We start from the raw sequence: 14809 nt of genomic DNA, 5'->3' as shown, positions 1-14809 counted from the left end.
AAATAATCAAAGCCTTAAGAACTGAACCAAAATGGCTTAGGTGAAAATAAAATACCAAACTCTGCTCTAAGAAAAGGAAAGAACATTCACTGAATTATACCTTCAGCAATAAGCACTTAATGGAACTTGTTTCATTTAAAATGCACCACAATCCTGTAAATTGATAATCATCATACCCCAATTTTATAGATGAGCATGGTATTAGGCGGACCTTTTTCAAAAGGTCATACAGCTAGTGACGAATATTTCCAAATTTTTCATAACATTTCTTTTTTTGAGACGGAGTCTTGCTCTGTGGCCCAGGCTGGAGTGCAGTGGTGTAATCTCGGCTCACTGCAAGCCTTGCCTCCCAGGTTCACGCCATTCTCCTGTCTCAGCCTCCCTAGTAGCTGGGACTACAGGCACCCACCACCATGCCCGGATAATGTTTTTGTATTTTCAGTAGAGACGGGGTTTCACTGTGTTAGCCAGGATGGTCTCAATCTCCTGACATTGTGATCCTCCCGCCTTGGCCTCCCAAAGTGCTGGGATTACAGACGTGAGCCACTGTGCCAGGCCTAACATTTCTGTTTTAAATAGCTTAATTAACTACACATGTTCTATATTCTTGCCTCCGAAAGGCAGCATTTTTTGTTAGGTTGGTTTATTATGCATCAGACACTTGATTCGCTGAGGAATTCTGTTTTTCAGTAATTCATCCACCACAAATATCACGTAGCATTTTGACTCCACAGACCTAAGAGTCTTAAGTCTTAAAAGGATTGTAAAATCTAAGTTTTTCTGAGATATCTGAGAGTAAGAGGCTTTTTTCTATTGAAAATAGGTTGCATTTCAAACTTTATCCGTAAGAGCTCACAACACTTTCTCCAACATGCATGCCCATGTGCTCACTTAAACAGAACTCTGAGTGAGACAGTAAATACCTCATATGCCCTTGAAAATTTTACCTTGGCATAGAAAAACCTTGTTAAGAACCTAAAAATAATTTCACTTTGAAAGTCTTTAGGGTTAGACAAATGTTAAACTTCAATTGGCAGTACAAGGGCAGCACTCAAGCCAGCAAGAGTTTTGTTGGGCCAAATTATGTTGAAAAAGATCAAATATTTTAAAAACAGGAGATTTCACATAAAAATCTGGGATTCCAGCTTCTTCTGAATAAATGAGGTACACTAATTATGCAGAGTGGCAAATGGCTGGAGTTGAGTGGGAGGTGTTTCTAGCCCATCAGATAGGCATGGAAGCTCCAGCTCAGCCCCCTCCACTCCATTTTCTAACACAAGGGAAGCCACTATAGTATGGCATCTAATTTAAGGCATATTATATGTATTCTTAAGACAGAGGAAAAGGCTGAATATTTGATATTATCAAAAGAAATTAGAGTCTAACTTTCTGTGGCAAGGACCTTCTTGCAGTAGTAACATAACATAGTCTGGAACACCTCCAACATAAATTATGAAAAGAAAGCTCTTGGCTCAGAAGAGAAAAAGCAAAAAAGAATACTCATTAATTCTATGTCACAGGACAAATAGATTTCAATTTCCATTGCAATTGTAGAAGAGGTAAATAATCTGCTGACCCAGAATTCCAACATGGACTCACACTTCCTGTCTTAATAACTCGAAACACTGAAATCACTCTAACAAAGGCAAATCAATGTCTTATTAATTTCTGGTTAAAAACAGACCCAGGAAGACAGGGCACAGACATAAATTTTGTGTGGTGGGAATACAAATATAACTTCAACTTCCAGATTCATAGATTTGGAAATGACCTTAGGCACTCTAAGTATAGCACCACTGAAGAAGTTTACATTTAGGGAATGGCTAATCCCTGCTGATCTAAACTATTTCCAATCCCCAATGTACTCTTTAAATACAGAAATTTAAAAAAAGAGGGGGCCGGGCGCGGTGGTTCACACCTGTAATCCCAATACTTGGGAGGCCAAGGCAGGGTGGATCGCTTGAGCTCAGGAGTTTGAGACTAGCCTGGGCACCATGGTGAAACCCCGTCTCTACAAAAAACACAAAAAAATTAGCCAGGCATGGTGGCGTGTGCCTGTAGTCCTAGCATCTTGGGAGGCTGAGATGGGAGCATCACTTGAACCTAGGAAGCAGAGGTGGCAGTGAGCCATGATCACACCACTGTACTCTAGTCTGAGACCCTGTCAAAAAAAAAGGAAGGGCTCAACATAGTAGGTACAGAGCTATTTTAATAGAAAGATCATGAGGGAAAAACTAGCAGCTGTCAGATAGAGAGTAATTTATTTTATTCATTTATTTATTTTTATTTTTATTTTTTTGAGACAGAGTTTCGCTCAGCTGCCCAGGCTGGAGTGCAGTGGCGCAATCTTGCCTCATGGCAACCACCATCTCCTGGGTTCAAGTGATTCTCCTCTCTCAGCCTCCCAAGTAGCTGGGATTACAGGCACCCGCTATCATGCCCGGCTGGTTTTTGTATTTTAGTAGAGATGGGGTTTCGTCATGTTGGCCAGGCTGGTCTTGAACTCCTGACCTCAGGTGATCCACCTGCCTCGGCCTCCCAAAGTGCTAGGATTACAGGTGAGCCACCACACCCAGCATTTCGTATTTCCTTTCATTTCATATTTAATTTTGTTTCATTACTTCATCATTTCATTTCAAGATGGAGTCTCACTCTATCACCCAAGCTGGAGTGCACCACCACACCCGGAATTTTATTATTCATTTCAATATTTCATTTATTTCTTCATTTCATTTCATTTCACCCGGTGTTTCATTGTTCATTTCATTATTTCATTTCATTTCATCCCATTTCATCTCATGTCATCTCATTTCATTTCGAGATGGAGACTTGCTCTATTGCCCAGGCTGGAGTGCACCACTGCACCCGGCATTTCATTATTCATTTCATCATTTCATTTCATTTCACCTGGCATTTCATTATTCATTTTATTATTTCATTTCATTTATTTCATTTATTCTCTTCATTTCATTCCATTTCATTTCGAGACAGAGACTTGCTCTATCGCCCAGGCTGGAGTGTGCCACCACACCCGGCATTTCATTATTCATTTCATCATGTCATGTCATGTCACATCATTTCATTCTGAGACAGACTCGCTCTATCGCCCAGGCTGGAATTCAGTGGCGCGATCTCTGCTCACTGCAACCTGAGGTCGGGAGTTCGAGATCAGCCTGACCAACATGGAGAAACCCCGTCTCTACTAAAAATACACAAAATTAGCCAGGCATCGTGGTGCATGCGTGTAATTCCAGCTACTCGGGAGGATGAGGCAGGAGAATCGCTCGAACTCAGGAGGCAGGAGGCAGAGGGTGCTGTGAGCCGAGATCATGCCATTGCACTCCAGTCTGGCCAACGAGAGTGAAACTCAGTCTCCAAAAAAAAAAAAAAAAAGTGATGGTAGATGCTCACACTGGCAAACGTTAGCAAGTACTAGAAGGGTCATTTGGCAGTAGTCATTCACGTTTTAAGCATGCAGATAATTTGCTCAAGTAACTTAATTTTTAGCAATTTATCCTACAACTAAAATGTATGTGCAAAACTGTATGTACTACAGTGTTTAAGGCCTCAAAGAAAAGGTGGTATCTGAACAAAGATGGACAGATGATGCAGCATTTGAGGTAGGTATCTGGAAGGATTGTTCTAGGAAATGGTAACGGCAAGAACAAAGGCCCTGAAGTGGGAGTTAAAAGACAATGGGAATAGGAGTAGAATCTGGAGTCATCAAAGTGGCAAGGGAGCAAATTACAGAGAAGATAGAGCCACTTTAAAGAATCTGGCTTGGCCCGGCGTGGTGGTTCATGCCTGTAATCCCAGCACTTTGGGAGGCTGAGGTGGGCGGATCATGAGGTCAGGGGATCGAGAACATCCTGGCCAACATGGTGAAACCCTGACTCTACTAAAAATACAAAAATTAGCTGGGCGTGGTGGCGGGCATCTGTAATCCCAGCTACTTGGGAAGCTGAGGCAGGAGAATCGCTTGAACCCGGGAGGTGGAGGTTGTAATGAGCCAAGATTGTGCCACTGCACTGCAGCCTGGCGACAGAGCAAAACTCCGTTTAAAAAAAAAAAAAAAGGAAAAAAAAGCTTAATTGGATTTTGATTGCTACCTTCTAATCATTTACTCATAAGCCTCCAAGTGTTTATAAAACTTCTAAAGAGTTAAGTTTCACAATTCTCCTAAGGAGAGTCTACGCATATTGAGATGTTAATGCAGGGTTTAGAAACTGTCAAAAACTTTCATAAGACCCTCAAAGAGATCTAGGACAATTCCTCCCACCCACAGAAAAGCAATCACCCAAACAACTGAGAATCAGTGGCAAAAAAACTCTCCTAAAAGGACACAGTACTATGGGGAGTCAAAAACAATTCAGGCAGCTGGGCACAGTGGCTCACGCCTGTAATCCAGCAACTCAGGAGGCTGAGGTGGGAGGATTGCTTGAGGCCAGCCTGGGTAACATAGCAAGACCCCATTGCTAAACAAAAAAAGAAACAATGAAAAAAATTAGCTGGGTGTGGTGGCATGCACCTGTAGTCTGAACCACTGGGCAGGCTGAGGTGAGAGGATCCCTTGAGCCCAGGAGTTCAAGGCTGTAGTGAGCCATGATGGCACCATTGCACTTTAGCCTGGGTGACAGAGCAAGACCCCAACTCAAAAAAAAAAAACAAAGGAAACATTTTAGTGAGTTTAGTCTTGCCTGGAAGAGACAAGTAAGGGACAGATGGGGGCAGTGGTGAGGGAGCCCAGGACAGCTAGCTGCTATGCTATTCAAAGTCACATATATTGCTTCCACAATATAACAAAACAGAAAGAAACCACCAAACAGCAAACAGTCTTCTAGTAATCCAATCATCATTTTTTTCTTTTTTCTTTTCTTTTTTTTTTTGAGACAGAGTTTCACTCTTATTGCCCAGGCTAGAGTGCAGTGGCGTGATCTCGCCTCACCGCAACCTCCACCTCCCAGGTTCAAGCAATTCTCCTGCCTCAGCCTCCCGAGTAGCTGGGATTTCAGGCATGCGCCACCACACCTGGCTAATTTTGTATTTTTAGTGGAAACCGGATTTCTCTATGTTGGTCAGGCTGGTCTTGAACTCCTGACCTCAGGGGATCCACCCGCCTCAGCCTCCCAAAGTGCTGGGATTACAGGCATGAGCCACCGTGCCCAGCTGACCCAATCATCTTTCATTTCAACCTTTTCCTCACCATCTCTTCAACTAATACTTTTCCTGGACCATTTTGACTTCAGGCTTCTACCTCCAATCTATTTTATCTACCCACCACTTCTAGCTTAATCTTCCTCAGAGATAATTCTAATCCTCTGTCCAAAAAACCTTTGATGACATGCTGCCTTTCTATGTAATTTTAAGCTTCTTACTTTAGCTTTCCATGCCATAAGCCTAAACTATCTTCCCAGACTTTTCTCCCACACCTTCCTTATATGTATCGTATAATCAAACAGATACATCAGAAAATTCAGTCCATTCTTAAGGTCTGGCTCAACTGTTATTTATTACTTCTTTCCCTTTTCTAGAAATTTTCCTGATTTCTCTATCCTGGAGGTAATTTGGTTTGGTGAGAAAGACAACGGGCTTTGGACTCAGACTAGAGTTTGATGCACTAGACCGTGACAGAGCTGTGTGAGCATGTGGAGGTAATTTAACTTGTCTGAATTTTAGTTTGTCTATAAAACAAGGGAGTACCAGTCTACTACCTTCAGAGAATGGTAAATGAGCTGACCTATATAAAGGATGTGACCTCCTTTCTACTTTAAGCGTATTTTGTACAATTCTTAGCGGAGTTAACACAGCTTTCCTCTTGGAAGTCAACAGACAATATGTAAGACTGAAAAGTCAAGAAAAATCAAGATAATAATATTATTTAAAAACATGAAAATAAAAAATAATGAATTAAAGCAGCCTAGGCATGGTAGCTCACATCTGCAATCCTAGCACTTTGGGAGGCTGAGGCAGGATGACTGCTTGAGCCCAGGAGTTCAAGACCAGCTTGGGCAACACAGTGAGACCCCATCTCCGATAAAGAAAAAAAAAAATAATTAGCTGGGTGTGGAGGCGTGTGCCTGTAGTCCCAGCTACTCAGGAGGCTGAGATGGATCACCTGAGCCCAGGAGGTCAAGGCTACAGTGAGCCTTGATTGTGCCACTGCACTCCAGCCTGGATGACAGAGTGAGACTCTGTCTTAAAAAAAAAATTAAAATAAGCTGGGAGTGGTGGCTCACGCCTGTAATCCTAGCACTTGGGAGGCTGAGGAGGGTGGAACACCTGAGGTCAGGAGTTTGAGACCAGCCTGACCAATATGGTGAAACCCTGTCTCTACTAAAAATACAAGAATTAGCCAGATGTGATGGTATGTGCCTCCAGTCCCAGCTACTCAGGAAGCTGAGATGGGAGAACTGCTTGATCCCAGGAGGTGGAGGTTGCAGTGAGCTGAGATCATGCCACTGCACTCCAGCCTGGGTGACACCTAGACTCCGTCTCAAAAAAGAAAAAAAAAAAAAAAAAAATTAAAAGTTGCCTTTGGGAAAAGGGAATTAAGGTGAGACGTATAGAACACTGTTGCACATCACTAAAATCTTTTAGATGTTAAAAAGATAAAAACCTTGACTTAAAAAATCATGTATGTGGATTAAACATCATTAAAATCTTTTAGATGTTAAGATAAAAACCTTGACTTAAAAAATCACGTATGTGGATTATTTTGATAAAAATAAAAATTAAGTAGCCAAAGATGTATCAACACAATAAAAAAGCTAAATTAGGCATTACTTGAATGTATGCTTCTAAACTAGTAAAACTTATCACAGAAGAGAATTATCTGACCCTTGACAGCAACACGTTGATCTCCCAGTAGAGTAAGATGATCATAGGAATAAGATGCTCTAAATTGACTTACAGGGAAGCCATTCCTGGGCTTTGACCTTGTGTGTGTCTTGTGATAGTTTAATATGCTGATGTCACAGGTCAAACTATTGTTTAAAACAAAACCAACAATTCTGAATATTCTATTGCTTAGTCTGTCCAAGATTAAAAAAACTAAACTAAAATGAATGAAAAATACAGAAAAGAATCTTATATTCTTAATGTCAAAAAACCACCATAAACCATATGATCCAAGAATTCCACTTCTGCACATATATCCAAAAAAAGAAAGAAGGACCTTGAAGAGATATTTGTACATCCATATTCGTAGCAGCATTATTCACAATAGCCAAAAGGTAGAAGCAACCCAAATATTCCTTGATAAAAGAACGCACATGCAAAATGTGGTATACATACACAGAATGAATATTATTTAGCTTTAAAAAGGAAGGGAATTCTGGCACATGCAACAACATGGATGAACCTTGAGGATATTATGCTACGTAAAATAAGCCAATCAAAAAAGGACAAATATTGTATGATTCTACTTATATGAGGTGCCTAAAGCAGCCAATTCAGAGACAGAAAGTGTAACATTATCAAGAGCTAAGGAAGTGGTAAATTGGGAGGCTTAATAGGTACAGAGTATCAGTTTTGCAAGATGAAAAAGTTCCAGAGATTGGTTATATAATCATGTGACTATAATACTAATGTACTGTATACTTAAAAATGGTTAAGATGGGTAAATCTTATGTTTATTTTACCACAATTAAAAACCAAACCAAACCAAAATAACCATAAAGTTAGAACACTAGATTATACTGCAACAGAGTGTAATTTCCTTGAAAACCATGAATTTTAAAAAGCGCACTTCAAGTGTATTAAGAGATGGCTCCCCATTCAACAGTACTCACCTGTACATTTATACAACATGCCTGTCATGGTTCCAGCTGCTACTGTGTTAAGGTCATCTTCTGCACCTCGTGTTTTCTCAATGATGACACCAAATGCACTATAGAGCAAAGCTAAAGAGGAAATGGAAGTGCTCAGTGACAAAACAGTGATAAAGTGTGATATTATGATATACATATATTGGTTTTCATCCATGGTTCCTAGCTCATAACTCCCATAGCCCTTCCTAAGTGACTAAAACAATCACTTGTTAAGGTATTTGTCCTTGGTTCTGGAATCAGCTTTGGAACAGCTTCAGAGGGACAAAGGTGAAGGTCTTTTGTTGTATTACTGGGGCACTTCAGGCCTCAGAAGCAGCCTCAGAAACAGAATCTCTCTCTCTGACCTTCTCCTGCCCTCCTTTCACCTACTCCCTTTTCTCCCCACAGCAGGACTCTAATCTTTCCCCACACCTTTCTGTCTTGGAACTGGCCATAAAGAAATTCTATGACCTACCTTGTCTGATTGCAGGCTGTAAGACCCCCATTTCAGAAAAGATCGTACCCCATACCCAGGAAGAAGAAATGCTGCACAGAAAGGCCAAGGGAGAATCTGGGCAGGCAGGCCTTGCTGGGTTTCTGTGCCCAGTCTATTAGTAGTAGAGCATGCCCTTTTTGTCCAATCACAGTTCTATAAGGTTGTCCATGCTTCAGTCATGCCTATCCAATCAATTTTCCACATGAGGCCCAAGTGGATGGGGTCGGAGGACTTTCTGGACAGCTGAACTCATGGGACTTGCAGGAAAGTGAGAAAGAACTCACCCACGTGTCAGGAGGCTAGTGCACCCCAACTCCAGTGAAATGAAAGCTCCTGCACTCAGGGCCCATCCAGGCCTCACCTTATGTATTCCTTGACTGGGCTATTTGTATCCTTTAAAAATATCCAGCCAGGTGTGGTGGCTCACAAAGTTTCTGTAATCCCAGCACTTTGGGAGGCCGAGGTGGGAAGATCACATGAGCCCAGGAGTCAGAGACCAGTTTGGGCAACAACATAGGGATACCCCCTTCTCTAAAAAAATTTAAAAAAAAATTAGTTGGTATGGTGGTGCATGTTGCCTGTAGTCCCAGCTCCTTGAAAGGCTGAGGTGGGAGGCTTGCTTAAGCCCAGAAGTCTAGGTTGCAGTGAGCTCCACTGCACTCTAGCATGGGTGACAGAGCAAGACCCTGTCTCAAAAAAAAAAAAAAAAAAAAAAAAATCTTTATAATAAATACGCAAATGTTAAGTATGTGTTCCCTCGAGTTCTGTGAGCCAATCCAATAAATTAATCAAACCCAAAGAGTGGGTTGTGGGAAACCCTGACAAAGCTGGTTGGTCAGAAGCACAGGTAAAATAACCTGGAGCTTGCTATCAGCATCAGAAGTATCCAAAGTGGGGCTCAGTTTTGTGGGACAGAGTGCTCAACCTGCTGATCTAATGCTATCTCCAGGCAGAAGTGAAACAGGTGGACACCCAACTGGTGTCCACTGCAAGAGAGATTACTTGGTATGTGGGGAAATATTCCCACATAACTGGTCACAGAACTATCCTATGTTGACTGTTGTAGTGTGAGAGCAGAGGAAAAACTGTTTTTTTTTTTTCAACACAAAAGTCAGTATGGCAATTATATTTAGAAAAATTTATCCAAAGATATACATGGAATGATCACTAGAACAGTTTCTAATAGCAAACACCTGGCAACAAATAAAATGCCCATCAAGAGCATTTGTACCATCTGAATTGATCCAGAGAGGGACTTTTCATATAATGGAATACTATACAGTCACTTAAAAACCAGAAGAATCATTTTCACTAATAAGTAAATCAGGGACATGTGCACATGGTACACGACTGACTGGCTATGCAGAGAAACGCCTGGAAGAATTCAGAAGAAACATCAATAGTAGCTATTTCTAGAAAGTACCGCTAGGAAGTCTCAGGAAGAATATTTAAAATTTTCATTTATATGCTACCCATAATTGCTATACTTCAGATTAAAGACACACACATACACACACACACACACACACGTATTTCTAGTATAAGAAAAAATAGATTAAAAAAAAAGTGAGGTTTGATTCTCACGTATTATAACACTAGCACCATTTCATTTTAAAGTATCTTCCCCCAAGCCATCCTTCTATGCTCTTGCAGATTCCTATCTGGAACGAATGTTAAACTTTTAAACTCTTTCTCAAAATTATAGCTACACTTGCCCCTTGCAACAATACACCGCGCTCAGCCTTACAACTCCTCTACTGCAGTATTTTTATACTTCTATGAAAGCTCATCTTCCTCTTCAACTTATTTAACTGAAACTGATCACGAGCAGAACACCCTTCTTGATCATACCACAATGGGTACACAGAGGGTGACCAGCCATTCTAGTTTGTCCAGGACTGTGGGGCGGGGTGGGCGGGGGGTGATTATTGGAACATAGTTTCTTGGACTTTTCTCTGACAGTCCTACGCAGACAAGGACAGCTGACTACTCTAGGTATACAAGCAATTAAAAGAAACAGAGCGGGGTGACTCTGTAGGAGGGTGGGAGGAATGCAGACATCAGCAACATATGAAAGCAGCCATCTCTTAGGATCCAAAGTGTGAAAACTAGCTTTACAGTGTGAAGATGTACTGCTTCCAAATTCTGTGACAAGGCAGGACCTTACCCTGCCATAACAAACGCTTTTTCTATGTTTTCAATGAGTTTTCTATGTCTTCCCCTCCTTAATCTGCCACAATTTAAATTGAGATTTTCAACTAAGTTCATACAGTAGGAAAATTTTGGATGTCAGGACATAAGCCATAAGAGATCTATTGTAAGTGATCAATCATTCATAAACAATATGGTATGAAAGCATAAGGCTCTGACTAAGCACTACTAAGTTACCTTTTGCCTAGAACTGCAAACGTTTTCATTATCTACAAGGAACCTATTCCAATTGTGGCAATTAGGTGCCTGAAATCTACTCAGGTAAACAGACTAATGAACCGGCTATTAAGAAAACATAGCAAGAGGGCTGGATTAATTTATCATGTATCACTACAGGACCTTGAACCTTGCCTAACATACAAAGCTCTTTACTTTGGACCTAAATTACCTGGATTTCATTTAAACATGATTTTATTGGGTGTTGTGCTTGGAAAGGAGAGTGTGCAGTGTCCAAAAGATTTTAAAAATTCAGCAATGGTATTCAGAACGGTATTAGCACCTGAGATTATTTCATAAGTTAGTTCATGGTCTTTCCCTAAGTAGTATCTACATTATGCATTGGAATGGGTTTAAACATAATTGTCTCATATCCTAGGACCAGAATATGGGTTGATCAAATTGTTCATGATATTTGTGCATTCTTTCTTTAACAATTTATTATCAAATGAGATCTCTACTTACCCAGAGAACCTAGAGTATTAGCCCAAAGTGCCCCTTGCCTAGTCACCATATTCAAAATCCTATCAGGGCAGAAAGAGAAAGAATCTGTATTTAGAATCATTATTTCTCTAGTAACCTTTAAAAACAATAATGGCTATTTAACATGTCTAGACCCAGGGCGCAAAGTTTTTTAAATTCTAAAATACATCTTAATATCTCCGATTTCAATAAGGATGGTTTTTACTCTACATAAGTGAAAATTAGGTTAAAACTTTCAAAACTTTAGGCAAAAGTCTTAAGGACTTTTATATAAGTCCTTAATAATAATAATAAGGAAAACTCTTATTATTAAATGTATAATATAATGAATACACATTAAATATATATAAGGCTTTGAATGACAGCCTGGAATGTATCTTACAGAGGTTTACAGAAACTAATCTATGTAAAAAATGCCACTGTTAACTATGGCGAGCTAGCTTCTAAAAGGTTCTTTTTGGGAGGGGAACATATGCTTAGAATGTTAAAGATAATCAAAGTAAAGAATATCAAAGTACAGAATATAAAGTAAAGAATATCAAAGTACAGAATATAAAGTAGAATTAAAGAGAAGGAATCAGCCATCTAACTAGAATACATGGGGAAAGCACCCTGTGTCTGCTCCTAGACTAGAACCAAGCAGCCAAGGTGAATGCTCAGCACACTCTCAAGGAAGCACAGTTCTGCCTTGCACCAGTGCCAGACACCACCAGAACAGTGATGGACGCAACTGGATGAAGAGAAGACATTCTTCTCCCAGCAGTGTAACATGATCCCAGGAATGGTTCTGTCCAGACAGCTGACTACTGCTGGAAATTATGGAAATACAGTAACAAAGAGTGAAGGAACTCATTCAGTTTAATTATTAAACGACTCAATTAATGTTCTACAGAAACAAAAATTTGTATTTTCTAAAAGATTGTTTTAAAAAATCAGTAATGTTTACAAACAGAAGTATATTGTTTCTAATTATGTTACATATTTACTAACATATTTTAAGTTCAGCCATCATTTTTTCATTTTTAACAAGCATTTTAATAACTTGTTTTAAGAAAGGAAGCAAGTTGTCTTTTCTAGGAGATCTACTTCCAAATTTGTATTTAATATGATATTGGGGTTTTTGTCTCAAAATAAGATGGGAGAGGAGAAGGAAATGGGATAGAACTGGCCATGGTTGATGGTTGTTGAGGATGCGTTATGGTTCATGTGTTCACTATGCTATGTATTTTGTCTACTTTTATATATTCAAAATTCCCCATAATACAAAAACTTAAAAATATTATTGAAGCGAGGGACAAGTAATAAAAATATTGAAGGATCTAGGCTGGTAAAGCATGGACAGAGATCCACACAGTAACAGGAATATAAAAAACTTAACAGGGCTAGGCGCAGTGGCTCACATCTGTAATCCCAGCAGTTTGGAAGGCTGAGGCAAGAGGATCACCTGAGCTCAGGAGTTTGAGAACAGCCTGAGCAATACAGTGAGACCCCGTCTCTACAAAAAATTAAAAAATTAACTGGGCATGGTGGCATGTGCCTGTAGTCCCAGCTACTCGGGAGGCTGAGGTGGGAGGATCACTTGAGCCCAGGAGGTCAAGGCTACAGTGAGCTGTGATGGCGCCATTGCACTCCAGCTCAGGCAACACAGCAAGGCCCTGTCTCTCAAAAAACCACACAATTTAACAGGCCTTCCAGTTTCCCATGGTCTAATTCTAGCACATCTGGTGCCATCTGCTGGCTGAACAATATGAAAGGAAGATGGAGTTTAAAGTGTCCTAAAACAAAACAGTAGCCATCGAAGAATACATACTCATGATTCCACTTACATGAAGCATAAAAATGGGCAAAACTAAACATATTGTTTAAGGAATATCAAGAGGGACTGGCCATGTTTACTTCTTAAGTTGGGTGAAAACATACTTTCCGATCCTTTTAACTGTACTTTCCCTTCTCTGTAACTTCAAGTTCTAACAGAAAACTGTGTCTTATCCTTTTGGAATTAACTCTAATTCTAAAAATTTTATTTAAAATGTATCTGGCTCATCATTTCGGAAACATAAAGTCAAGACAGTAAGAACTTCAAGTTAAATGATGGCAGCTTGAGCCATCACTCTCATGAGCTGCTTATTCTTCATTACCATTTCCTATGGATCTGCATGCCCCCAAACAATCCAAAATTCCCATTAGCAACTCAACAATTTGAAAAGCAAGTCACATAGGGTTGGAGAATGTAACAGGTGCAGCTGAGAAGTCAGGCTGGCATAGCACTAGCTGACTGAGGGACACTGATTAAAAAAATCACTCCTTTTTAAAAGCTTAGAGTCAGTAATCTGATTCCTTAGTTGCTTTTATTTTGATTAAGATTAAAAAACAAAGACAAAAAAGCACATAACTATGCTAACCATCTGTAATCTCAAGGTTGTACTCATCAAACCAATACAACAGAGCTTAATATTCAAGTATCACTACATCAGATGGTTACAAGAGACTTACTGTACATTTCTTGGTTTGGACCAGGCCATGTTCTGGGTTTCCTTCAATCCTAGCCGAAGACCATTCATTGCACCAAACGCAGCCCCTGGTAAATCATAACAATTCACCCAGATAAAGACAGCTTTATATTAAAAAAACAAACTCAAATCTGCATAACTACACTTCTGATTCTTTTTCATTTTTATTTAATAGAAAAAGACAAATGTAAATATTAAAAAAAAAACCCTGAAACCAACATTCTAATTGCTTTTGATTTTACGCACCCTCAACTACTTGAACTGAGCACTCTTGAGAAAAAAGTATGTAACACTCACCTGTCATGCAACATCCTCCAATCGTAAAGAAGGCCAGCTCAAATCTGCCCCGGGTTTTATTAGCTCCGGTAGGTAAAATAAACTCATCTGTATCCTAAAAGGATAATAATGAAAACCAAGCTGAGTGTCCCTCAAGACACAAATCTTGTAAAGTTGCCTTTTTAACATTTCAAAGTAGTTTTTCACAGAAAATAAACCTTAAATTAACTCAAACCTATACTTAAACAAAAATAAAACTTTCTGCAGCAGTAACACCTAAATCAAAGTGAAATGAAATACGAAACATAGTTCTTAGAAGGGAGTCTCATTAAAGACTTTGTTTCCTTCAAAACGTAAATCTGATAGATTTGTGCAAAAGTGTTTAGAAAGGACAGCTCTAGAGAAAGGAACACTGAAAGCTATGAGAAGAACAGAACAGACAATCAGTCTGGAAGAAACAAATAACTTTCATTCTGTAGCAGCTATTTATTGTGCATTTTTCTATGTATAAAGCCAAATGTTCACAAACATGAGCAAAAACTAATAAAGTACAACAGTTTGGATCAATTATGCAAGGGCAAATGACCCCCTTTAATAATTCTTATCTGTTTAAGGAGTATATATTCCTTTGATACTCTCAGAAAGCTATAGACCCTATTTCTAGTAATTGCATACACAAAATGTGGCATGAACCCCTGGAAGGTCATCCAAAATACTAAGACTGAGAAATGACACTCTTAAGAGCAAAATATGGTTACCAATTTTGAAGAGTCAATGCACCTTTATGAAAAACACACTCAAAAAAACAA

General features: G+C 39.6%; 1 protein-coding gene and 1 non-coding gene across 4 annotated transcripts in view; both read right to left on the bottom strand.

Annotated features, from left to right (window-relative positions):
- TIMM23 (translocase of inner mitochondrial membrane 23) overlaps positions 1-14809 on the bottom strand; it is a 31254-nt gene that overhangs the window by 7105 nt on the left and 9340 nt on the right. For all 3 annotated transcript variants that reach the window (NR_073029.2, NR_073030.2, NM_006327.4), the window contains 4 exons: positions 14022-14115; positions 13708-13792; positions 11197-11255; positions 7791-7901 (listed from right to left, as the gene is read on the bottom strand). Coding sequence is in view for 1 of the 3 variants with exons in the window: in NM_006327.4 (NP_006318.1) it covers positions 7791-7901; positions 11197-11255; positions 13708-13792; positions 14022-14115 (349 nt within the window). In the remaining 2 variants the exon portion in view is untranslated. The remainder of the gene's footprint in view (positions 1-7790; positions 7902-11196; positions 11256-13707; positions 13793-14021; positions 14116-14809) is intronic.
- SNORA74C-1 (small nucleolar RNA, H/ACA box 74C-1) lies at positions 11827-12030 on the bottom strand. Its single transcript, NR_145721.1, has one exon. It is a non-coding gene; the product is annotated as a small nucleolar RNA, H/ACA box 74C-1 (small nucleolar RNA).

This window comes from Homo sapiens, chromosome 10 (assembly GCF_000001405.40).
Source record: "Homo sapiens chromosome 10, GRCh38.p14 Primary Assembly".
In the NCBI taxonomy this organism is placed as follows: domain Eukaryota; kingdom Metazoa; phylum Chordata; class Mammalia; order Primates; family Hominidae; genus Homo; species Homo sapiens.
This window is presented reverse-complemented; position numbering and strand designations above follow the sequence as displayed.